This window comes from Homo sapiens, chromosome 7 (genome assembly GCF_000001405.40).
Source record: "Homo sapiens chromosome 7, GRCh38.p14 Primary Assembly".
NCBI lineage: Eukaryota > Metazoa > Chordata > Mammalia > Primates > Hominidae > Homo > Homo sapiens.
Window position 1 is genome coordinate 106,303,032 of NC_000007.14, and position 25,543 is coordinate 106,328,574.

The window sequence follows — 25,543 nt, forward strand, 5'->3', positions numbered from 1 at the left end:
TTGCTAGGTTGGGGAAGTTCTCCTGAATAATATCCTGAAGAGTGTTTTCCAACTTGGTTCCATTCTCCCTGTCACTTTGAGGCAGGAATCAAATGTAGGTTTGGTCTTTTCACATAGTCTCATATTTCTTGAAGGTTTTGTTCATTCTTTTTCATTCTTTTTTCTCTAATCTTGTCTTCATGCTTTATTTCATTAAGTTGATCTTCAATCTCTGATATCCTTTCTTCCACTTGATCGATTCGGCTATTGATACTTGTGCATACTTCATGAAGTACTTGTGCTGTGTTTTTCAGCTCCATCAGGTTATTTATGTTCTTCTCTAAACTGGTTATTCTAGTTAGCACTTCCTCTAACTTTTTTTCAAGGTCTTAGCTTCCTTGCATTGGGTTAGAACATGCTCCTTTAGCTCGGAGGAGTTTGTCGTTACCCACCTTATGAAGCCTACTTCTGTCAATTAATCAAACTCATTCTCCGTCCAGTTTTATTCCCTTGCTGGTGAGGAGTTGTGATCCTTTGGAGGGGAAGAAGAGTTCTGGTTTTTGGAATTTTCAGCCTTTTTGTGCTGATTTTTTCCTCATCTTCGTGGATTTATCTACCTTTGGTCTTTGATGTTGGTGACCTTCAGATGGGGTTTCTTTGTGGACATCCTTTTCATTGATGTTGATGCTGTTCCTTTCTGTTGGGTAGTTTTCCTTCTAATAGTCAGGCCTCTCTGCTGCAGGTCTGCTGGAGTTTGCTGGTGGTCTACTCCAGACCCTGTTTGCCTGGGTATCACCAGTGGAGACTGTAGAACAGCAAAGATTGCTGCCTGTTCCTTCCTCCTAAAGCTTCGTCCCAGAGGGGCACCCGCCAGATGCCAGCCAGAGCTCTCCTTTATGAAGTGTCTGTTGGCTCCTACTGGGAGGTGTCTTCCAGTCAGGAGGCACACGGGTCAGGGACCCCCTTGAGGAAGCAGTCTGTCCCTTGGCAGAGCTTGAGCACTGTTCTGGGAGATCCGCTGCTCTCTTCAGAGCTGGCAGGCAGGAACATTTAAGTCTGCTGAAGCTGTACCCACAGCTGCCCCTTCCCCCAGGTGCTCTGTCCCAGGGAGATGGGAGTTTTATCTATAAGTCCCTGTCTGGGGCTGCTGCCTTTCTTTCAGAGATGCCCTGCCCAGAGAGGTGGAATCTAGAGAGGCAGTCTGGCTACAGTGGCTTTGCCGAGCTGTGGTGGGCTCTGCCCAGTTCAAACTTCCTGGTGGCTTTGTTTACACTGTGAGGGGAAAACCGCCTATTGTAGCCTCCCCTAACCAAGCTCAAGCGTCCCAGATCGACTTCAGACTGCTGTGCTGGCAGCGAGAATTTCAAGCCAGTGGATCTTAGCTTGCTGGGCTCTGTGGGGGTGGGATCTGCTGAGCTAGACCACTTGGCTCCCTGGCTTCAGCCCCCTTTCCAGGGGAGTGAACAGTTCTGTCTCACTGGCATTCCAGGTGCCACCGGGGTATGAAAAAAAAAAAAAAAAAAACAACAACAACTCCTGTAGCTAGCTCTGTGTCTGCCCAAATGGCCATCCAGTTTTGTGCTTGAAACCCAGGTCCCTGGTGGCATAGGCACTGGAGGGAATCTCTTAGTCTGCAGGCTGAGAAGACCCTGGGAAAAGCACAATATCTGGGCTGGAGTGCACTATTCCTCATGGCACAGTCCCTCACAGCTTCCCTTGGCTAGGGGAGGGAGTTCCCCAACCCCTTGAACTTCCTGGATATGGTGATGCCCCACCCTGTTTTGGGGCTCACCCTCTGTGAGCTGCATCCACTGTCTAACCAGTCCCAATGAGATGAGCCAGATACCTCGGTTGGAAATGCAGGAATCACCCACCTTCTGTGTTGATCTTGCTGGGAGCTGCAGACCAGAGCTGTTCCTGTTCAGCCATCTTGCCCGCAACCCCATCAATTTCTTTCTGTATTAGTTAACATTTTCAATTTTATGCTTTCCCTGTCATATTGTCAGATTAAGCATTTTTACTGTTCTACTTTTTTCATAGATTTTTCTTCCATTAATATAAAATATTCCCCTTTTTTTATGTAATGATTTTTCATCTTGAATTTTATTGCATGCAAATTAACATCACGGTATTTTCTTTTTATTGGCATTTACTTTAGCTATTTTCTTTCCAAAACTTTATTTCAATTGTTCTGGGTCATTTTATTTTAGATACGTCTCTAATAAAAAGCATATGACTGGATTTTTTAAAAAAAATACTGAGTTTTTTTTCCTGTCAATAGAAGAACTTAATTCATTCATATTATTGGGGCACATCCTGACATTTTCTCTTATGCTCCCCAGTTAATATTCCCCCTTGTTAATTTTTTTCCTTTCCTCTGGAGATCAAGAGAAAATCCTAAAAGTTGCCAGAGGAAAGAGGGTAAGTTGCTTACTGAAGAATAAGAAGCAGAATGCTAATGGACTTTGCATCAGCAATGCGAAATACTGGAGGACAACAAGCAGTATCTCTAGTTCTGAAGGAGAATTAATTTTAAATTAGAATTTTTAGTCAGTCACAATTGAATTCAAATATAAGAGGTGGAAATGACATTTTTGAACATGCCAATACTGTCTACTGCTTAGTATAGAGTCGAGCAAGCCATGCTAAAAGGGCAGAAGTCTCATCTGAGGTCCCGTTCTTTTTACTGCAGTCTTTCATATTCTTGCCCAAGCATGTCCTTGCATTTGTGGATCTTGAGCGTGGAGCAGGGGTCAGCCACTATGGCCTTTGGGCAAAACCTACTCTGCTGCCTATTTTTGTAAAGGTTTTTGTAAAGGATGTTTGGTTGAAACACATCAATGTTTGTTCACGTATGCATCTGTGCTGCCTTCTCCTGCCCTGGAAGAGTTAATTGCTACAGAGACTGCCTGACTCACAGGGCTGAGACTAGGTGAGGAAAGAGAGGTGCCCAGGGTGCAATATGGATGCACTCCTTTTTAAGGCTGGCCCTGCACTTGCATGACCCCGAGCATTAACACTGCCTTGAATTGTACTCACCAGCTTCCTCACACTTAGTCCCTACTCTGCCCAAAATACTTTCAATGTGATCCTTAACAGAAATTGTTCCCCAACACCTGGTTTAAAGTATTACCACAATTGTTTGCATTCCTGGGATGGTTTTCTCTTGTACAAAGTATAGACCATAGTTTCCTACCTTCAGCTTTCTCTCTCACATGCTTTTTATTTGTGATCCATTATTTTTTAAAAACATTTTTTTCTACGTGTTTTGGGTAGGAGGATGGTAGATCTATTTTACAAAGAGATCTAATGACAATTTAGTCTAAAAGATAGCATTTTAATATAAACTGCTATTCTTTTCTTGTTCCATTCAACAACCCCCTCACCCCCACAACTTTTCCTGTAGAATCTATTATTGGAAGTTTTACCTTTTCAGAGCAAATCTGACAGTTTTGCAGCAGACATGGCATGGAGTTATATATTCTTTCCCAACCACCCGCCTGTCAAGTTCCTAAAAGGTTCATAAATATGTCACTAGAAATTGTATTCATATTGATTTTTTTCCTTGAGTCCTTTTGTATTTATTGCCAAGGCATAGAATTAATATCATTCTTACCCTCGTATTGGCTGCCTGCCTTGCACAGTAAAATGTCATTACTGACTTGTTTATGTATTTAGCATCTACTTTGTGCCAAGTACAAGTGCCGTGCAAGGGGCTAGGGCTGGTGATGAGAAAACTGACCCTGTTCCCGCTCTCACTGAGCTTACAGTCTAGTGTGTGAGGCAGCGATTAAGTATTAGTTATAAGCTGTGGTGAGTGGTATGAAAGAATGATACAAGAGGTGCAATAATGTCTAAAGGGTGATCCTGACCTAGTCTGAGACTGCTTCCCTGAGAAAGTGATGTGGGAGCTGAAATCTGCAAGAGGAGAAATCAACTAGATACACTTAAGGAGAAGAAAAAAGAGTATTTGGGGAGAATGAGCACTTTATGCAAGTGTCCTGAGGCAGGACAGAAATGACAGAAAGATAAAGTGACCAGAAGAAAGATAAAGTGACCAGAGGGCTGACAGTCACTTCCATGAGGAAAGAGTATGGACAAAAAAAGGCTAGAAAAGTGGTCAGTGGCCACATCATATACATGATGTAAATTTTGGCCCTATTTTTTAGAGCAATTGAAATTCATCAAAAGCTTTTAAGCTGGGAAATGGTTGATGATATTTAAATAATAATTAAAAGTCAGTATTGTAAATGCCAGAGGAGAAAAGAGAGTGGGTGTGGGTACAATTATGTTAGGAGTTATGGTAGGAAATGGGAAATGGTCCAGACTTAATGGCTTCCTTTTGCTTGATGATCTGTGAATCAATGTCGTCTGCTGAGAGCAAGGAGGGAACAGATGTGAGGCGAATGGAGAATTGAAGTCGATTTTGTGGGGCATGGGAGAGGAAGTTGACCAGAGGCACGTGTTGAATTTTGAGCGGCCTAGATTTGTAGCAATTGCTACAAATGTATGACAATCAACTTTAGGTCAGGACCACCTTTTAGACGTGATTGCACCTCTTGTGTTGTTCTTTCACACCACTCACCAGGGCAGCATGATTTCCTTTAGTAGACCTCTTCTGGCTGAGTGTAAGCTGTTTGGATAGGAAAAATTGGCTGACTGGTCAGGGAGCCCCTTTAATTTAATATGTGCCTCAAAGCTCCTAGCACAATGCTAGGCCTAGAGTAGCTACTAGTAAATATTTGTTAACCAGTTCTTCCCAAATGCTTTTGAAAAAGACCTGGTCAGCTCTACCCACCATTTCTTCTCCATTCCTCCTCGGAGAGCCACTTGGCCTCCCATATTCTCAGCATCCTGTCCATGCTCAGAAAAGTTAGGTGTTCTGGAACCTTGTTCAGTAGATGCATGTTGATGACTGTTTTTTTGTTTATTGTTTTTGGCTCAGTGAATGAAAATAAAATGGAGCAGGACCATTTAGGTCATTTGCTCCTGCTATCATTATTCTAACATTATGTACAAGGCCATTTTCTTTTTAAAATACATTTGTGGCATGTGCTTTTTAGGGGATGGAGTCCTTTAAGTCAAGGACTCTTTGCCAATGTTGTTTTATATCTCCCCTAGCTGTCTTTGTGGGATTCAATGTTTTGGCTAAAGTCTTGATCACAGCCAATTGGGGAAGATGAGGTACAGGCAGTTCTCCCTTTTCATCGTTGCTGCTGCCTTATTTGGCACTACCAGTGCTTCTCTGTTACCCTGAAGGCAGTGGTTTCTGCATAGACTGAAATGGTGAAAAACAACAGCATCTGAGCAACTGAAATAATACTCATGCTGTCAAGAATTTATCCTACTTCTAGGTGACTGAAAACATGGTTTTCAGAATACATTACATCTAAAGATGAGCTAATCTGTAACTGAAGATTGGTATCCCATCTTTTATCAGCCAGCAAGAAATACAAGGACCCACTGAACATTAACCAGGTAAGACATTTTACAATTAAGTAGAAAAATGTACCATTTCAAAAAAAAGGTCCCTGCTGTATCTTTTTTTGCATGTTGCTTAATAATATTATTCTGCTAAGCAAAGGTGAAAAATCTAAGAAAAAGACAATGTGAGATAAAAGACTGGACTAACCCAGTAACAAAGTACTTATGATTCTTATAATCTGTTTTTTTTTTTTTTTAACAAAGGAAATCTCAGAATGACATTTGTACCTCAGGCCTAGAAAGCAATACATCCAAATTAAAAGTCAGTGTTCTTCAAGAAGAAGAAAAATGGAATGAATTTCATGTAATATCTAGCATGAGTAAGAGGCTTGACTCCATTTGTAACCGGGTCTCACTCTGTTGCCCAGGCTGGAGTGTAGTGGCACAATCATGGCTCACTGCAACCTTGACCTCCTGGCCTCAAGCTATTCTCTGACCTCAGACTCCTGAGTGGCTGGGACCACAGGTGTATGGACCTCCTGGGCTCAAGTGATCCTCCCACCTTGACCTCCCAAAGTGCTAGAATTATAGGCATGAGCCACCATACGCAGTGGAAGATATTTCTTCTCAAAACAAACAAACAAAAAACTAGATGCAATCAGAACTACCAGAAAAACAAAGACCTACACAAAAAAGTCAGAATCTAAATATGCAATTTAAATATGCATAATGACTTTCAAAAATTGAGAGAGAAGAAGAAAGAAGAATCCATTTGACCTCAACTCCAAAACATTCTTCTTTGAGTGGCACAGGGGTTGTGATGTTGGCACTATACAAAAGAAACGGCACACTTCACCATGACTGTGCTTCTTCTCTATAGAAGGTCATTGCTCCTGAAGAGCAGCTCATCCCTTCCACAAAGCTTACCCTGGAAATTCTGGCAACTACTCCTTCTGTAGTTACTTCTGGCCTAGAGATTGCCAACCATGGCTGAATCACCATACCTTGCTGGTTTCCCTTAACCCTGCTCACACTTTTGTAAAACATCCTTCATGAAACTCTCTTCAATCACCTCTCTTGAGAGTATCTGTCAGTACACTGACACCATGAGGAAGAAAGTGAGACAGTGCTTTAAATTCCACCCAGTGATGACTGCAGGCCATGAGGTCATGGGAGATGAGAAACATGCATCAGGCCCCATGTCCTTAGGCCTCTCATAGTGTGCTCATCTTGTTGTGGCACATATGATTCCAATGTGTGTGTTTATAGGTACAAATGATTCCTAAACACAAACATACTATTACTACCTTAGACTTAAGTGAATAAACAGAAAGCAGTTCTCATAGTCAGATGTATTAGTCCATTTTTACATTGCTATAAAGAACTACCTGAGATTGGATAATTTATAAAGAAAAGAGTTTTAATCAACTTACAGTTCTGTGTGGCTGGGAAGGCCTCAGGAAACTTACAATCATGGTACAAAGTGAAGGGGAAGCAAGGCATGTCTTACATGGTGGCAGGAGAAGGAGAGTGAAGGGAAGTGCCACACTTTTCAACCATCAGTTCTTGTGAGCCCTCACTCACTATTAGAAAAACAGCATGGAGAAAACTGCCCCCATGATCTAATCACCTCCTACCAGGTCCCTCCTGTATTACAATTCAAGATGAGATTTAGGTGAAGACACAGAGCCAAACCTTATAATCACAATTAAAGCATTTAGTACTGTGATACAAGCTACTAGAAGGCTCCTTTTCTACATCTTGGCAAACAGAGAAGGCTACATCCATCCCTGTTCATCCCCAGCTTGGAGCCCTTCTGCAGGCTGTGCACAGGCTCCCCCATCACATGCAATGGTCCTGCGTCTCTCTGTGCCAGAGGAAAAATTGGTTATGTTGGACTTACTGAGCAACTATTCAGTCTTGAACTTTATAGACTGAGAAAATAAAATGTTGAACCACAGCCAAACCTTCCAAATCAATCTTCTCATGTTGGGTTATGAGAAGGGACTTGTTAGATGTTTCTGTGCGATACCAACACATCTCAGCAAAAGCCCAATCCAGACACCAGGCTCACTGACTGATGATTGAACTTTCCAGTTTTTATGAAAACACCTGTGTTTGTCCATTTTGCATTGCTAAAAAGGAATACTTGAGGTTGGGTAATTTATAAAGAAAAGGGGTTTATTTGGTTCATGGTTCTGTAAGCTGTACGAACATGGCTCCAGCATCTGCTTGGCTTCTGGGAAGACCTCAGAGAAGCTTTTACTCATGGTGGAAGGCAAAGGGAGGGCAGGCTTGGCACATAGTGAGACAGGGAGCAAGGGCAATTCCAGGCTTTTAGACAATCAGATCTCACGGTAACTAGTAAGAGTGAGAACACACTCATTACCATGTGGCGGCCCCAAGCCATTAATGAGGGACCCACTCTCATGACCCAAACACCTCCAACTAGGCCCTACCTCCAATACTGGAGATCACATTTCAACATGAGATTTGGAGGGGATAAATATCCAAAACTACATCAACACCTCTCTTGGTGCTGAAGACCACCCTTGCCTCTTGCCCTCTCAGATCCCACTTCCACGTTGGTATCCCTTCCCTCACTTGGTCAGCATCAAGGCCTTTCTACGTCTGCCTCACCCCTAGCCCAGGGGTAGCCACGCTGCACACATCAGCTTCTTCTAACCCTGCTTTCAAGTGCACATTTAAATTAGTGGCTCAGTTGTGAAGTAGGCAACACAGATTTCCAGGCTCCCCATTCTGCGTCATTTTCCCCTTTCTTTCTGGCTTCTCCCCCATATCAAGCTTCCAAGGTCTTTTTGTTTGGAAACATACCAATGCTACCCAAAGGATGTTTTTTTCAATTATTTATATTTGATCTGAAGGTCCATTCTAGTAAGGATAAGTCCTCACATTAAATGCATACAATTTGCCTGTGGGACTTTGGTATGGTTATGGCTGTCATACATTCTCCCTTCTTAGCCCAGTGTGGGTGTGCCCAGACTCCACTACTGGTTGCTGATAGAGCACCATTCTCTTTCTCAATTTAAAGCAATTAAAGAGCCCATTTCTACCCAGCACCACTCTGGTGTTGTGGCCCAGTCTATGACCCTTAATCCTATTTTACCAATAGGTGAAACCACAATAATAGCTAGCATTTTCTCAGTGCTTTACATTTATTAATTTATATATTACTTATACAAGTTATATGTAACTTACACTTGGTAGTTATACAAGGTAGATTCTATTATCCTAATTTTACAGGTGATAAAATTGAGGTACAGAAAGGCTACATACTTGTTTAAAGTCAGTAAGAGGTGGTAGGTTTCAAACCCACTCAATCTGGCTTCACAGTCCATATACTGGCACTCGATAAATGCCACATATCCTCTGGGCCAAGCTTAAATATCGCCCTTTCGGTTCTTTTTCTGCCTTATACGATGGGACAAATCTCTACCCTCTGCACCCTCATTAACCTGTACATGCCTCTATAGTAGTCCTCATCTCATTGCACAGGGTTATTTTACAAGAATGCTTTCTAGTTAGATGTGCCTTGAAGGTGAGACCATGCTTCCTTTTGGTATCTCAGTACAGTGCATGGCAGGCTATATAAATTCTACAAATGTTGGCTGAATAAATCAAACTTTTCCTGGTTCCTTCCGCATCCTTCAAAACTCCTATTCTATATCTCTTTCTAATAGGTTGCTGTATGATTTGTACATTTTTTCTTTAAATCAATGCATCAGTATCAATGGCTGATTAGAGTTCAAGTTTTGATGGGGAACTTTAATGCCTTAATAGGATATAATAGCTAAGGGTGGGAGGTTTAGGCACTGTGATACAATGGCAGGGGAGAGATTCGTCATCAGCTGGTATGAGCCTGAGGCTAAAATCTTACCTTGTAACTGGCTATTCGTTCTGTCCATTCTTAGGGCATAACTTGGTTACAATAACTGGAAGTTAGTGAATTTATTTCCTTTTCGTAAAATGAGAGATTTGAACCAAATGATGTCAGTGTTCCTCTTCAGCTCAAAATTCTGTATTTGTAGGAAATTATAGAAGTAAATAAATATATTTTGAGAAGCTGATAAAAATAGGTGGAATTAATGCAGGAGTTTCTAGGAAATTGTATAAAATGTTAGTGGTAAAAGTGTCATCTGAAACTACTTGGAAAGAAATGTATTTACAGAGTTAGGTATGTGCAAAATTAAATATTTACAAGGCTATGTGTAAGCATTAAAGTAAAAACATGGTTCCGAATATGGTAAGGATGAAGAACTTGATTTCATAATAAATACTGAATTACTATACTTCCTTCTTGGGAACACCAGCCAAGGGTTAGAAATTTTAAGGATAAAGCCATTTTAAAAATTATTGCTAGAAAGTTTTCATTTTACAAAAATTACCTAATTTGCTGTTCATACCAAGATAGAGTTTGTGTTTATATAAACAACATAAATTTAAATTAGATTTTTAAAAAAGTTCTTAATTGGTAGTGTAAGGTCCCCTCTGTGCATCTTCTAAGTGGTTTACATGGAAATATTCTTGAAAAAGCCCAAATAGATGAATAGTTGCCACAGCCTTGCAGTGCTATGCAATTCAAGTTTTAAGAAGATTTGAAAAAAGATAGGGTGGGAGAAGGAAACAGACATTCATTAAGTATGTCGACCAGTCATGTTCCAAGCATTGTGCTGGGTAGTTTACATATGCTGTTCCATTTAACATGCACAGTCACTTTGCCTGGTGTTTATACCATCCCCACTTAAAAATTTAGAGACTAAGTCTGTTCCTTCTTCCTAATGCTACTGTTTATTTCCTTTCTTTTCTCTTGAACACGGGCATTTTATGTTTTTAGGACAAGTTATTCTAAATAATAAAAAGAGCAACAACCGCTGTTTATTGGGCATTTTCTATGTACTAGGCATTGTGACAAACATTTTACAAAAATTTCATAATTTACTCTTTATACCAATCCTTTGAGGTGGGGATTACTTCACAAGAACAGAGAGATTAGATACCTTGTGCTGAATTACATGTCTAGCAAGCAGTGGAGTGGGGTTTGAAACTGGAACCATTGACTCCAGCCGCTCTACACTAGTGTCTCTGTGGTTTCCATGTGGTCCACTCAATACTGTGATGAGCTGGTTCACAGGAATGTCAATAAGAAAGAAAAATAATGATGTAAATAACAAAGTATGTCATGAAAACCATTTAATGTTGGTTAATTAAATTATACAACATCTGTGGAGCTGGAAAAGAAAAATTTCAGGTTTTACAAATAGTGCCTAATAAAACAATTGAAAACACAGTAAGCATGATTTTATCAGAGTTGAAAGTACACAAAGTGCACACAAAAATTCAGAAGTACCTTTAGTCCACGTTGTATTTTCTTCCTGTTTAGTCACTTCCTTTAGGGAAATATTGACAAATCCCTTACAGCCCCCCATTTAAAACAGTTTAACCAGTAGATTCTTGAAATTCTGAACAGGGTCTTTAGTGATTAATTAATTGAATGCTTTTTATATTCGATTCTTATTCTCTCTGTGAGGCACAGCTCTAATGTTTATAAACCTAACTTTGTTCAACCCCCAATAAAGATAGGTTGGCCTAGTATACACGGAAATAGGATGTCTTACATTGAAAGTGCCTTTATTATGTACATTTTATGCTGTTCTTTTCTTTCAATTTCTCTTTCTCCAGCTTTTCTCTTATACAGTTCCTTAAACTTACTTCTCCATTCTTCTTTCTGGTTTTTCTCAAATCTTTGTTCACTTCCTCAAAAATAAAACTGAAGTCATTCTCCAAGGGTTCTTTCTGGTCCTGTGTCTGTACTTCCACCTTAGAGTCAGTAGTCTCTTATGTAAGTTTCCGTATCCTGACTCTAACTTCCCTGAACAAGCTCTTAACTTTCTCCTTTCTCTCTCTCCTTTTCTTATTTTTTTTTTGTTGTTATCAATTGTCTTTGATAGAAGTTTGTCTTTTTAAAAAACATTTTTATTCCACTCTCCTTGTCCTTTAATTGCTTCTGCCCATTTGGTTGGCAAGACTGAATAGCCCATTTCTGCTTCTCGTTTTCTGTATGCTTCAAATTAAAGAAAGTGTTAATTTTAAACCTGATCCCCTTTCTGTCAATCTCCTCTTCTCCCAAGAATGGAGGCTTGGCTTCTATTGGCTTATGGTACCCTTGTTTCTTCCTGGGTGATTATAGAATAATGGGCATCAGATTGACCTGGAGAATTTTCCCATATGTCTGATCTTCCCATTTCTTTTACATCTACTCTGATATCCTGGGAATAGGGTGGTATAGGGGGTGAACAGCAGACACAAGGTTTTTTTGACAAAGCTCCATGTGATTTTCCTGCTGAGACCTTCTCTCTTCCAGCCTACCACTGATTGGGATCCTCTACTCCAGAAGCTCCTACTTCCTGGGTAAGACATAGATACATGTGTTTAAGGCAGGATTCTGCCAGTTGATGAATGAGCCATCAGTTTAGCAAGCAGTGAGCGGAGTGCTTTAGGGGGCAAGATGTGAGTGGTGCATGAAAGGGATCATATGCCTCTTTTCCATTTGCTACCAGGAAATTCATGTAGGGTTGAGCCAAGATTCATTCTATTATTAAGTTGGTGCAAATGTAATTGCGGTTTTTGTTATTAAAAAAATGGCAAAAATTACAATTACTTTGCATTAACTGAATACAATCAATAGTAATTCTTCATACTGCATTTCTGCATACTTACTTAAATTTCAAGTGAAAAACACACACACAAAATGTTGTTCTGAGTTCACATAGCCTTTGGTTTGCATACAGAGTCTGCCCTAAATTCTCCAAGAATTGGAAGTCCACTGCGTCCAAAGAAATATACTGAAACAAATAATCTTCAGGCAATGCCTAGAGATGTGTCTACCAGTTTCTCTGACTTGGACTAGAGCCTTGGATAAAAGTAAAAAAGAGACATTGTCCATTTCCAGTGAAATTGAAGGACTCAACACCAGTATCTGATGATGTATCAAGTCAACTATATCCTCCAGAAGAACAGGAAGAACTTGATTTTTTATTTGATGAACAGACGCAACAAATAGAAGAAAAAGAAACACATTTACTGATTGGTCTCGTAATGATTCAGATTATGAAATTGATGAGCTGAATTTCAACAAGATGTTGATTTGAACTCAGCTATCATTTTACCTGAGAAAACATCCTGGATAAGATCAAACAGGCAACCACAGGTTTCAGGCAAAAATGGCCTATGTCATTATGAATAAGACTTGTGGATGGAAGAGGATGAAAACAAACATACAGCCATAAAGAAATCGACACGCTGATCTAAAATTCACATGGAAATCCAAGGGAACCAGAATAGCCAAAATAATCTTGAAAAAAATGAATGAAGTTGAAAGACTCGTACCTCCTGATTTTAAAACTTACTATAAAGTTAAAGTTATCAAGACAGTGTGGTACTGGCATAAAAACAGACATATAGGTCAGTGGAACAGAATTAAGAGTCCAGAAACAAACCATGTGGTCAACTGATTTTTTACAAGGATGCTAAGACTATTTAATGGGACAGAAGACTGTAGTCTTTTCAACAAATGGTGCTGGGACAACTGGATAGCCACAAACAAAAGAATGAAATTGGATTCTTACCACACACAATATACAAAAATTAATTCAAAGTGGATGAAACACCTAACTCAAAGAGCCTAAAACTATAATACTCTTAGAAGAAAACATAGGCATAAGTCTTTTTGAACTTGGTTAAAACATTTATGACACCAAAAGCACAAATGACAAAAGAAAAAAATGGATTAGATTTCATAAAAATTTAAAATTTTCAGCCAGGTGGTGGCTCATGCCTGTAATTCCAACACTTTCCGAGGCAGGGGGATCACTTGAGCCCAGGAGTTCAAGACAAGCCTGGGCAACATGGAGAAACCTCATCTCTACAAAAAAATTTAAAAATTAGCTGGGTGTAGTGGTGTGTACCTGTAGTCCCAGGTACTCAGGAGGCTGAGGTGGGAGGATCAATTGAGCCCACGTGGTCAAGGCTGCAGTGAGCTATTATCATGCTGCTGCGCTCCAGCCTGGGTGACAGAGAGAGACCCTGTCTCAAAGAAAATACAAATTAAAAACTTTCGTACTTCAAAAGACACCATCAAGAAAGTGAAAAGGCAACCCAAGAATGCGAGAAAATATTTGCAAGTCATGTCTGATAAGGGAATTAAATGCATAAACAACTTTTACAACTCAATAATAAAAAGACAAATAACTCAATTTAAAAATGGGCAAATAATCTGAATAGATATTTCTCAAAAGGAGATTTACAAGTGAACAATAGCACATGAAAAGATGTTTGGCATCATTAGCCACCAGGGGAGTACAAATAGAAACCACAATGAGATACCACACTACCTAGCACTGGCTGGCATAGCTATAATCAAAATGACAGATACTAACAAGTTTTGGCAAGGATGGAAAGAAATTGAAACACTCATAACCTGGTGGTGGGAATGTAAAATGGAAAACAGTCTGGCAGTTCCTCAGAAGGCTAAACATAGTTATCCAGCACCTCTTATCATAGGTATATACCCAAGAGAAATGAAAATATGTGTCTAAACAAAAACTTGTACATGAATATTCTTAGCAGCATTGTGAAAGTGGAAAGAACTCCAATGTATACCAACTGATGAATGGATAATTAAAATGTGGTATATCCATGTAATGGAATATTATTTGGCAATAAAAACAAATGAAGTACTGATACATACTACAACATGAAAACCATATGCTAAGTGAAAGAAGCCACTCACAAAGGACAACTTATTGTATGATTCCATTTATATGAAATGCCCAGAATAAGGCAAGCCATAGAGACATAGAGCTGGTGGTGGGGAGCAGGCAGAGAGGAAATGGGGAATCAATGCTAAGGTTTCTTTTTTGTGGTGATGAAAATGTTCAAAATTGATTATGTTGATGGTTACACAGCCCTGCTTATACACTAAGAACCCCACGGAATTGAATACTTTAAATGGATAAATTATATCATATTTGAATCGTATCTTAATAAAGCTGCTACAAAAATTTTTTAAATTGCTGTTATGTTTATATAGAATAAGTCCCATAAAAATGTTCTGAAGACATTTTTCTGTGTAGAATATTAAGCCAATACTAGTGACAGCAGGCTGATGCCAAAATATTCATATATATTAAACTAGAATGCTGGAGAAAGCTTAAGGAAAAAGGTACATTAAACAGAGTAGAATTGAAAACTACCTCTTCTCTCTGGTTTCACATAAAGTTTCTATCCTCAGCATGCTGTATGAATTATAAGAAATCAGAAGTAAAGAGTAGAAATGCTATTCCATGTGGTTTGGGGTGAAGAAAATAAACTTTTGCATCAAACACGTGTTCAAATACTAACTCAGTTTATTGTGGGGCAATAAATGACAAAGTTATTTACCTAATGGTAGGGCAATGGTTGAGGAAAACTGTTGAACTGTTTCCCATACATAGTCTGGGGATATGTGGGTATTTTGTTTGTATGTTTTTTGTCTGGCTAGTGTCCTTTTATCCTTCTTTTGTACCAGAATCTAGAAATATCCTTGGGAGAAACATCTTTCTCCTTCTGTCAGTTCCTGTACTTTGGTGAACTTGAATTCCTTCCTGCTTTTCCATGTAGGTGCCTGTAGCCTGGATGATCAGCACATTCCGAGGTTTAGGGATGGGGCCAAATCAAATGTAGCCAGTAGGATTAATCTTATGGCCTTTGTTTGATTGTGAAAGTGGACTTCCCTCTGCTGCTGTGGGTGAGCTCGAATCTGACAGGACAAATGTCTGGAGTTCTCGGACTTCCTGCCCAACTCATGAAGTCTGAGCGTGTGGCCAGTGCTGTTGTGAGAGAGCGGAAACATGCAAAGGTCCTGGGTCCTAGGGACATCATTATGGCCCTTGTTAAAGGCACAACAGCATGAGCCCTGGACTTTCAGTTATAAGCCGAGACTTTTGCTTTCAAGCTTAAATAAGTATTGGAAATTACCTGTACCCAAATGAATCCAAAGGTAACATTACTTGCTGTTCCAGTTACTATGGCTTGTAGCAAATGGACCCAAAACTTCATGGTTTAACACAAGAACACATCTATTTTGCTCACAAATCAGCAATCTGGGTGGGGATTGGAGTGGCTCATTTCTGCTCTATTCAGCGTTAGTTGTGGCTGGAAGCTGGGGCTGGACTCATCTGGAGGTTTACTCCCTTACATCTGGTGCCTGGGCTGGGACAGCTCAAACAGCTGGGACTGGAGAAGTTGGGGCTCCATGGGTCTCTCTCTACATAGTCTGCCCATGTGCTCTCTCCAGTATGGCAGCTTCAGAGTGGCTGGATTTCCTACATGTCAGCTGAGGGCCCCCAGGGCACGTGTCCCAAGGGAGGAGAGCAGGGGAGAAGCTCTATCATCTTTTTTGTCTTGCCCTCAGAAGTCATGGAGAATCACATACACCATAGTCCCAGGCCCACCCAGATTGGAGAGGAGCAAACGTGGACCCCACGTTTTGATGGAAGAGTGTCAACATCATACTACAGGAATTTATGGATTGGGATATACTGGCATAGCCATTTTTGAAAATACAATTGGCCACACACTATGAGGTATTTGTAAAGATTAAATAAAAATTTTGTCATGAGACTATCCTGCAAAAATATGATATAGAGCTGGAGACCCAAATGGGCTGAGAGACTCTAAGGAGACTGTGTGAACTGGAAAAAATTATCTGGCCAAGCCAGGGAAATGCTAGTGAGGAGAGATCAAAGAGGGAGTTGAGTGGAGAAAAGCAATACCCAAGTTTTATCATGTCTAGCTCTAAAAGCAAAAACCACAGAGGCTTGATAAAGGAAATGTACAAATAACATTTATTTATAAATCTGTTGTTTCTACATATGCTAGCATTTCTGATTAAAGCTGTTTATTTTTGCAGTCATGCTTGCATAACAGCAGAGGATAAATGAACATGGTGCCAGCCTCTTCTCTTGGTTCAAAACTTCCTATGATAGAAGTTTTACTCTGTTAATCCTGTGACTGAAGCAGAATGCCAACATTAATATTCCTAAAATGTATCTTCAATATTTTTTTGAGAAATCAATATAAGGATTTTGGAAGCTAATGCCATAAAATTACAAATAAAGTTACAAAGTGACAGCAAATGTTGGATACTTATATTAAATATGAATCAGAATATTGCTTGGGGGTTAAGACAGAATGACAAAGTGAGTAAAGCCAAGACTAACACAAAATTTACTGATGAGGCCATTGCAATTAAATTGAGTTACAGTAATAAAAAACCCTTTAGATTCAACGTCTAAAACAATGCAAAGGAACTAGCTCTCCAACTTTGTAAAGTCATTCTGCCCCCTCTAAACTTCAATTTCCTCATGGACAAAATGAAAGTGTCTGATTAGAGCAGGGGTTTCCAATCTTTTGGCTTGCCTTGACCCAAGACGAAGAAGAAACCAATTCTCTTTTTCCAATAGGATTGGAAAAAGAATTGCTAATTCTTCTTTTTCCAATAGGATTGGAAAAAGAATTGCTAATTCTTCTTTTTCCAATAGGATTGGAAAAAGAATTGCTAATTCTTCTTTTTCCAGTAGGATTGGAAAAAGAAGAATTGCCTTGGGCCACAAATAAAATACACTAACACTAACGATAGCCAATGAGCTAAAACAAACAAGCAAACAAACACAACAGCATCTTGCTTCCAAGATGGCCAAATAGGAACAGCTCCAGTCTATAGCTCCAGGTGTGAGCAACACAGAAGATGGGTGATTTCTGCATTTCCAACTGAGGTACCGGGTTCATCTCACTGGGGCTTGTCAGACAGTGGGTGCAGCCCACGGAGCATGAGCCAAAGCAGGGAGGGGCATCACCTCACCTGGGAAGTGCAAGGGGTTGGGGAAGTCCCTTTCCTAGCCAAGGGAAGCTGTGACAGATGGTACCTGGAAAATCGGGACACTCCCACCATGACACTGCACTTTTCCAACAGCCTTAGCAAATGGCACACCAGGAGATTATATCCCATGCATGGCTCAGAGGGTCCCACGCCCACAGAACCTCGCTCACTGCTAGCACAGCAGTCTGAGAGCAAACTGCAAGGTGGCGCGAGGCTGGGAGAGGGGCCTCCACCATTGCTGAGGCTTGAGTAGGTAAACAAGGAGGCTAGGAAGCTCGAACTGGGTGGAGCCCACTGCAGCTTAAGCAGGGCTGCCTGCCTCTCTAAACTCCACTTCTTGGGGCAGGGCATAGCTGAACAAAAGGCAGCAGAAACTTCTGCAGACTTAAACGTCCCTGTCTGACAGCTTTGAAGAGAGTAGTGGTTCTCCCAGCACGGAATTTGAGATCTGAGAAAGGACAGACTGCCTCCTCAAGTGGGTCCCTGACCCCCACGTAGCCTAATTGGGAGGCACCTCCGAGTAGGGGCTGACTGACACCTCATATGGCCAGGTGGCCGGGTGACCCTCTGAGATGAAGCTTCCAGAGGAAGGATCAGGCAGCAACATTTGCCATTCTGCAGCCTCCGCTGCAAAAGGGGTCTGGAGTGGACCTCCAGCAAACTACAACAGACCTGCAGCTGAGGGTCCTGACTGTTAGAAGGAAAGCTAACAAACAGAAAGGACATCCACACCAAAACCCCATCTGTACGTCACCATCATCAAAGACCAAAGGTAGATAAAACCACAAAGATGGGGAAAAAGCAGAGCAGAAAAGCTAAAAATTCTAAAAATCAGAGCACCTTTTCTCCTCCAAAGGAATGCAGCTCCTCGCCAGCAATGGAACAAAGCTGGACAGAGAATGACTTTGATGAGTTGAGAGAAGGCTTCAGACGATTGGTATTAACAAACTTCTCTGAGCTAAAGGAGGACGTTTGAACCCATCGCAAAGAAGCTAAAAACCTTGAAAAAAGATTAGATGAATGGCTAACTAGATAACCAGTGCAGAGAAGTCCTTAAAGGACCTGATGGAGCTGAAAACCATGGCATGAGAACTACGTGACACATGCACAAGCTTCAGCAGCCGATTTGATCAAGTGGAAGCAAGGGTATCAGTGATTGAAGAACAAATGAATGAAATGAAGTGAGAAGAGACGTTTAAAGAAAAAAGAGTAAAAAGAAATGAACAAAGCCTCCAAGAAATATGGGACTATGTGGAAAGACCAAATCTACATCTGATCAGTGTACCGAAAGTGACAGGGAGAATGGAACCAAGTTGGAAAACACTCTTCAGGATATTATCCAGGAGAACTTCCCCAACCTAGCAAGGCAGGCCAACATTCAAATTCAGGAAATACAGAGAACGCCACAAAGATACTCCTCGAGAAGAGCAACTCCAAGACACATAATTGTCAGATTCACCAAAGTTGAAATGAAGGAAAAAATGTTAAGGGCAGCCAGAGAGAAAAGTCAGGTTACCCACAAAGGGAAGCCCATCAGACTAACAGCGGATCTCTTGGCAGAAACAATGATCAATGAAACAGATCAATGAGACAGAAAGTTAACAAGGATATCCCGGAATTGAACTCAGCTCTGCACCATGCGGACCTAACAGACATCTACAGAACTCTCTACCCCAAATCAACAGAATATATTTTCTTCTCAGCACCACATCGCACTTATTCCAAAATTGACCATATAGTTGGAAGAAAAGCACTCCTCAGCAAATGTAAAATAACAGATATTATAACAAACTGTCTCTCAGACCACAGTGCAATCAAACTAGAACTCAGGATTAAGAAACTCACTCAAAACTGCTCAACTACATGGAAACTGAACAACCTGCTCCTGAATGACTACTGGGTACATAACAAAATGAAGGCAGAAATAAAGATGTTCTTTGACACCAATGAGAACAAAGACACAACATACCAGAATCTCTGGGACACATTTAAATCATTGTGTAGAGGGAAATTTATAGCACTTAATGCCCGCAAGAGAAAGCAGGAAAGATCTAAAATTGACACCCTAACATCACAATTAAAAGAACTAGAGAAGCAAGAGCAAACACATTCAAAAGCTAGCAGAAGGCAAGAAATAACTAAGATCAGAGCAGAACTGAAGGAGATAGAGACACAAAAAACCCTTCAAAAAATCAATGAATCCAGGAGCTGGCTTTTTGAAAAGATCAACAAAATTGATAGACCATTAGCAAGACTAATACACAAGAGAAGAGAGAAGAATCAAATACAAGTAGTAAAAGGTGATAAAGGGGATATCACCACCGATCCCACAGAAATACAAACTACCATCAGAGAATACTACAAACACCTCTACACAAATAAACTAGAAAATCTAGAAGAAATGGATAAATTCCTCGACACATACACTCTCCCAAGACTAAATCAGGAAGAAGTTGAATCTCTGAATAGACCAATAACAGGAGCTGAAATTGTGGCAATAATCAATAGCTTACCAACCAAAAAGAATCCAGGACCAGATGGATTCACAGCTGAATTCTACCAGAGGTACAAGGAGGAACTGGTACCATTCCTTCTGAAACTATTCCAATCAATAGAAAAAGAGGGAATCCTCCCTAACTCATTTTATGAGGCCAGCATCATCCTGATACCAAAGCCGGGCAGAGACACAACCAAAGAAGACAATTTTAGACCAATATCCTTGATGAACATTGATGCAAAAATCCTCAGTAAAATACTAGCAAACTGAGTCCAGCAGCACATCAAAAAGCTTATCCACCATGATCAAGGGGACTTCATCCCTGGGATGCGAGGCTGGTTCAATATACGCAAATCAATAAATGTAATCCAGCATATAAACAGAACCAAAGACAAAAACCACATGATTATCTCAGTAGATGCAGAAAAGGCCTTTGACAAAATTCAACAACCCTTCATGCTAAAAACTCTCAATCAATCAGGTATTGATGGGACGTATTTCAAAATAATAAGAACTATCTATGACAAACCCACAGCCGATATCATACTGAATGGGCAAACACTGGAAGCATTCCCTTTGAAAACTGGCACAAGACAGGGATGCCCTCTCTCACCACTCCTATTCAACATAGTGTTGGAAGTTCTGGCCAGGGCAATCAGGCAGGAGAAGGAAATAAAGGGTATTCAAATAGGAAAAGAGGAAGTCAAATTGTCCCTGTTTGCAGACGACATGATTGTATATCTAGAAAACCCCATTGTCTCAGCCCAAAATCTCCTTAAGCTGATAAGCAACTTCAGCAAAGTCTCAGGATACAAAATCAATGTACAAAAATCACAAGCATTCTTATACACCAACAACAGACAAACAGAGAGCCAAATCATGAGTGAACTCCTATTCACAATTGCTTCAAAGAGAATAAAATACCTAGGAATCCAACTTACAAGGGATGTGAAGGACCTCTTCAAGGAGAACTACAAACCACTGCTCAAGGAAATAAAAGAGGATACAAACAAATGGAAGAATCTTCCATGCTCATCGGTAGGAAGAATCAATATCATGAAAATGGCCATACTGCCCAAGGTAATTTACAGATTCAATGCCATCCCCATCAAGCTACCAATGACTTCCTTCACAGAATTGGAAAAAACTACTTTAAAGTTCATATGGAACCAAAAAAGAGCCCGCATCGCCAAGTCAATCTTAAGCCAAAAGAACAAAGCCGGAGGCATCACACTACCTGACTTCAAACTATACTACAAGGCTACAGTAACCAAAACAGCATGGTAGTGGTACCAAAACAGAGATATAGATCAATGGTACAGAACAGAGCCCTCAGAAATAATGCTGCATATCTACAACTATCTGATCTTTGACAAACCTGAGAAAAACAAGCAATGGGGAAAGGATTCCCTATTTAATAAATGGTGCTGGGAAAACTGGCTAGCCATATGTAGAAAGCTGAAACTGGATCCCTTCCTTACACCTTATACAAATCAATTCAAGATGGATTAAAGACTTAAATGTTCGACCTAAAACCATAAAAACCCTAGAAGAAAACCTAGGCATTACCATTCAGGACATAGGCATGGGCAAGGACTTCATGTCTAAAACACCAAAAGCAATGGCAACAAAAGCCAAAACTGACAAATGGGATCTAATTAAACTAAAGAGCTTCTGCACAGCAAAAGAAACTACCATCAGAGTGAACAGGCAACCCACAAAATGGGAGAAAATTTTCACAACCTACTCACCTGACAAAGGGCTAATATCCAGAATCTACAATGAACTCAAACAAATTTACAAGAAAAAAACAAACAACCCCATCAAAAAGTGGGCGAAGGACATGAACAGACACTTCTCAAAAGAAGACATTTATGCAGCCAAAAACACATGAAAAATGCTCACCATCACTGGCTATCAGAGAAATGCAAATCAAAACCACAATGAGATACCATCTCATGCCAGTTAGAATGGCGATCATTAAAAAGTCAGGAAACAACAAGTGCTGGAGAGGATGTGGAGAAATAGGAACACTTTTACACTGTTGGTGGGACTGTCAACTAGTTCAACCATTGTGGAAGTCAGTGTGGCGATTCCTCAGGGATCTAGAACTAGAAATACCATTTGACCCAGCCATCCCATTACTGGGTATATATCCAAAGGACTATAAATCATGCTGCTTTAAAGACACATGCATACGTATGTTTATTGCGGCATTATTCTCAATAGCAAAGACTTGGAACCAACCCAAATGTCCAACAATGATAGACTGGATTAAGAAAATGTGGCACATATACACCATGGAATACTATGCAGCCATAAAAAATGATGAGTTCATGTCCTTTGTAGGAACATGGATGAAATTGGAAATCAGCATTCTCAGTAAACTATTGCAAGAACAAAAAACCAAACACTGCATATTCTCACTCATAGGCGGGAATTGAACAATGAGAACACATGGACACAGGAAGGGGAACATCACACTCTGGGGACTGTTGTGGGGTGGGGGGAGGGGTGAGGGATAGAATTGGGAGACATACCTAATGCTAGATGACGAGTTAGTGGGTGCAGCACACCAGCATGGCACATGTATACATATGTAACTAACCTGCACATTGTGCACAAGTACCCTAAAACTTAAAGTATAATAATAATAAATAAATAAATAAATAAAAAAGAAATTAGTGGTGTTGAGGAATAGTTCTCTTTTATTGTAAGAGAATGGCTGACTTTTTTTTTATTACTTCCAAGGCTTTCATTTTTAAGTGTCTGAAACAAGAAGATAGCATAAATAAGTAGGCTTTAACATCACCATGCCAAATTATGCATATTTATTATGTGCCCTGAGAGAACATGACCTTTTAGAGAGGGACTTATATTTTATTCACCTATATACTCTGGTCTATAGTGTAATGGCTAGCACACAGAAAGCTGTCAATAAATGTTTGATTTTGTAGTGTTTCTGTGTCCAGAGGGAGTGGCCCTCCTATAGGTACAGGTGTGCAAAGATGGTTCCCCATGTTCAGGTTGGAGTAGAGGGACCAGTCCCAGCCACCACACACCTAATCCCTTCACTGGACATCAGTGCTGACAAGGTGGGAGGCCAAGCAGGGTGGGGAAGCTGGGAGGAGATCATGGGACAGCTTTAAGGATGACTTTTTCCTTTTTGTATGTTCTCATCACAAAGAGAAAGGTACAACCTGCTGTTAGTGTACCCATTGAAAGTGTTTCTGAGAATATAAATTTGGACTAGCATTTTAAATTGCACTATCCTTATATCCAGATGCTGCATTTTCAAAAGAACCTTCTTTTTTTTTTTTTTTTTGGTGTTGTTGAGACTGGGTCTTACACTATCACCCAGGCTGTAGTGCAGTGGCACCATCAAAATTCATTGCAGCCTCTAAAACTCCTGGGCTAGAGGAATCCCCTTGCCTTAGCACCCCCAAATAGCTCCTTCTTTCTATTAGAAAATTTATACATAAAGCCTGGCCAGTAACTTGGTCTCCATTTATTCTTTTCTCCAACTATCTATTAATGATCCTATACTTTTAAACTGTGTTAATTATTGTTTAAATTAGCTATCATATGGGTCAAAATGTAAAGAATCTAATCTAAAGAAGTTTCTCTGTTACCATTGGAGCCTGGCTATTCCATTTCCTTACAGGCAACCAGCATTATTAGCTTCTTGTCTATCCTTTCTTAGTCTTTTGAGTAAATATGAACAATTAAATCTCAAATCTCTTCTTAACTAAGAATGGGGCTGTTACTAAGGTCATTTGTTTGTTTCGTGTGGGGTTAACAGTGTAAGGATTTGGCCTTGTCTTTCCTTTTATGGTTTTCTGTTTTGATCTCCCATATTTCAGATTTGTAAAACAAGCTCTGAGCAGCCAGTGGTCCATTCCCATGTGCTCTCTGTCCCTCTGTCCTCAAGGGCAGAGTGAGCAATGTCACTACGTCTTTTCATGAAGTCACAGTAAAGCAAATATTACTGTACTGGGGCAGGGCCTTTCGAGTTATTTTCCATCCCACTCTCAACTTTTATTAATCTTCAGAGTCACTCTGGCAAAAGGTTTCTCTGGCTTCATATCCAGAGATGAAAATCTAAGCTTGTCCCTCATTCAAATTAGTGGGATCTGTCTCTTTACTGTTTTCCTCGCTTCTCTGTAATCTGAAAGAATGTTGTTTTTTCAAAAGTCCATTACCAAACAATGATTCAGGGCTCCTAAACTGTTTTAATAAAGAAAATTTTCTATTTGTCATTTCTCCCATACTTTGTCCGTGAGTGGGTGTGAGGGCAGGCTGGACTTGGAAAAACACTTTAACATGGACTTGTTGACTGGATTCCATTATTTTGTGTGCCCAGAATTCACCCATTTCCTTTCCTGTGTATTCCCTCCTCCTTCTAGGAACTGTCCTTTCTTCTTCTCCACATGCTTAATTGGGAGCTGCTAGGTGAGTTCAAATGTAGGTTAGACCCTGGCCACAATTTGTTGGTGCAGGAGTGAACGCCGGATCTAAAATGGATCAATTGTTCTCTTCCCAGGGAATTTGGACTTTGGTATAAGACTCAAGTCAGTCTCTTTCCAAATGGCTGAACCTACCATTAAGGTAAAATTCAGGAGCTTTGGGCTCCTGAATGCTCCTAGGTTTGCTGTTACAAGGGTGGAAGAAATAGAGACAGAAAAAATGATGTAAGAAGAGATTGAAGGCTGCTGATGGTGTTCCAGGCCCTGGATTTGGCCGTCACTGCCCTTGCCTTCCATGAGACATCTCAGTCTTCGGAGTCAGCTAGTTCAGATTGGTTTTCTGTTACTTGCAAGCCAGAGTGTACCAAACACAGGGGCATGCCAGCAACAGCAGCCCTGAGCTCTCCTGGGTGAGGTTTTGAAATTTCACTCGCAAGATTCCCTGCAACATTTTCTCCCTTCTGCCAGTTAGAGTTTGGACTCAGATCATGTTTGTAATTGAAAATATCTAACTGAAATTAAATGTTTCTGAAATTTTTTTTCTCATAAACGTTGAATTACAGTAGAATGTCACTGATACTTCTCTCGTGGCCAGAAAAATGTTTGTAATTTTCAGTTTGTGTTTGTTTTCTCTAAGCACGTCCCCTTTCTCCTATTCAAACAAACCCTCAGCAGTATTCAGAGAACAGTTACTGAGTCTTTGGACTCTTATATGTGCAAACACCTAAACCCAGAAAAGAGATTATGCGAAGTGCTTCTGAGGAAAGCATAGCAAAATTAAAACAGAAATCCTACTCCTGCCCGAGGGATCTAGGAGCAGAAAAAAACTTTATTTACCAAGCATAGCCCTGGGGAGGCAAGACCCCAGGAAAAAATGTGGAAATATCTGGGGAGACAGGCTGTTGTAGACAGTTTTGATGAGATGTGTATACTCTAGAGAGGCAAGGAAGCAGCAGAAAGATGCCCATGCCCGCATGCATGTCAGCGAAGTAGGACAGAGGAAGGCTGGACTTAAAGGGGCTGTGAAGACAGGAAATCTCAGCCCTGACCTGCAAGGGTTGTGTTCAAGGACTGTAACTATAGATATCCCAGTGAACACTCATGGAGACAGAGAACTGAAGGACAAGACGCCACAACCTCCAAACCCACCATTCAATGTCCTAGCTCCATTGGAGTCTCCTGGAAACTAAGACAAAACTTTGGAAAAAGAGACCCTAAATTGACTGAGAGTAAGTTTCT

The 25,543-nt window shown here is 40.4% G+C and overlaps 1 pseudogene, besides 2 other annotated features; it reads left to right on the top strand.

The window, feature by feature from the left end:
- Positions 10,403-10,542: a silencer, noted in NCBI's record as "silent region_18534". NCBI's record gives its function as "represses an Ori minimal core promoter by ATAC-STARR-seq in GM12878 lymphoblastoid cells {active_cell/tissue: GM12878}" and the evidence as "EXISTENCE:reporter gene assay evidence [ECO:0000049][PMID:35858748]".
- LARP1BP2 (LARP1B pseudogene 2) lies at positions 12,194-12,712 on the top strand (annotated as a pseudogene).
- Positions 16,855-18,054: an enhancer, noted in NCBI's record as "MED14-independent group 3 enhancer chr7:105960332-105961531 (GRCh37/hg19 assembly coordinates)". NCBI's record gives its function as "activates an origin of replication core promoter dependent on BRD2, BRD4, P300/CBP and CDK7 cofactors, and independent of MED14, by STARR-seq in HCT116 cells {active_cell/tissue: HCT116}" and the evidence as "EXISTENCE:reporter gene assay evidence [ECO:0000049][PMID:35650434]".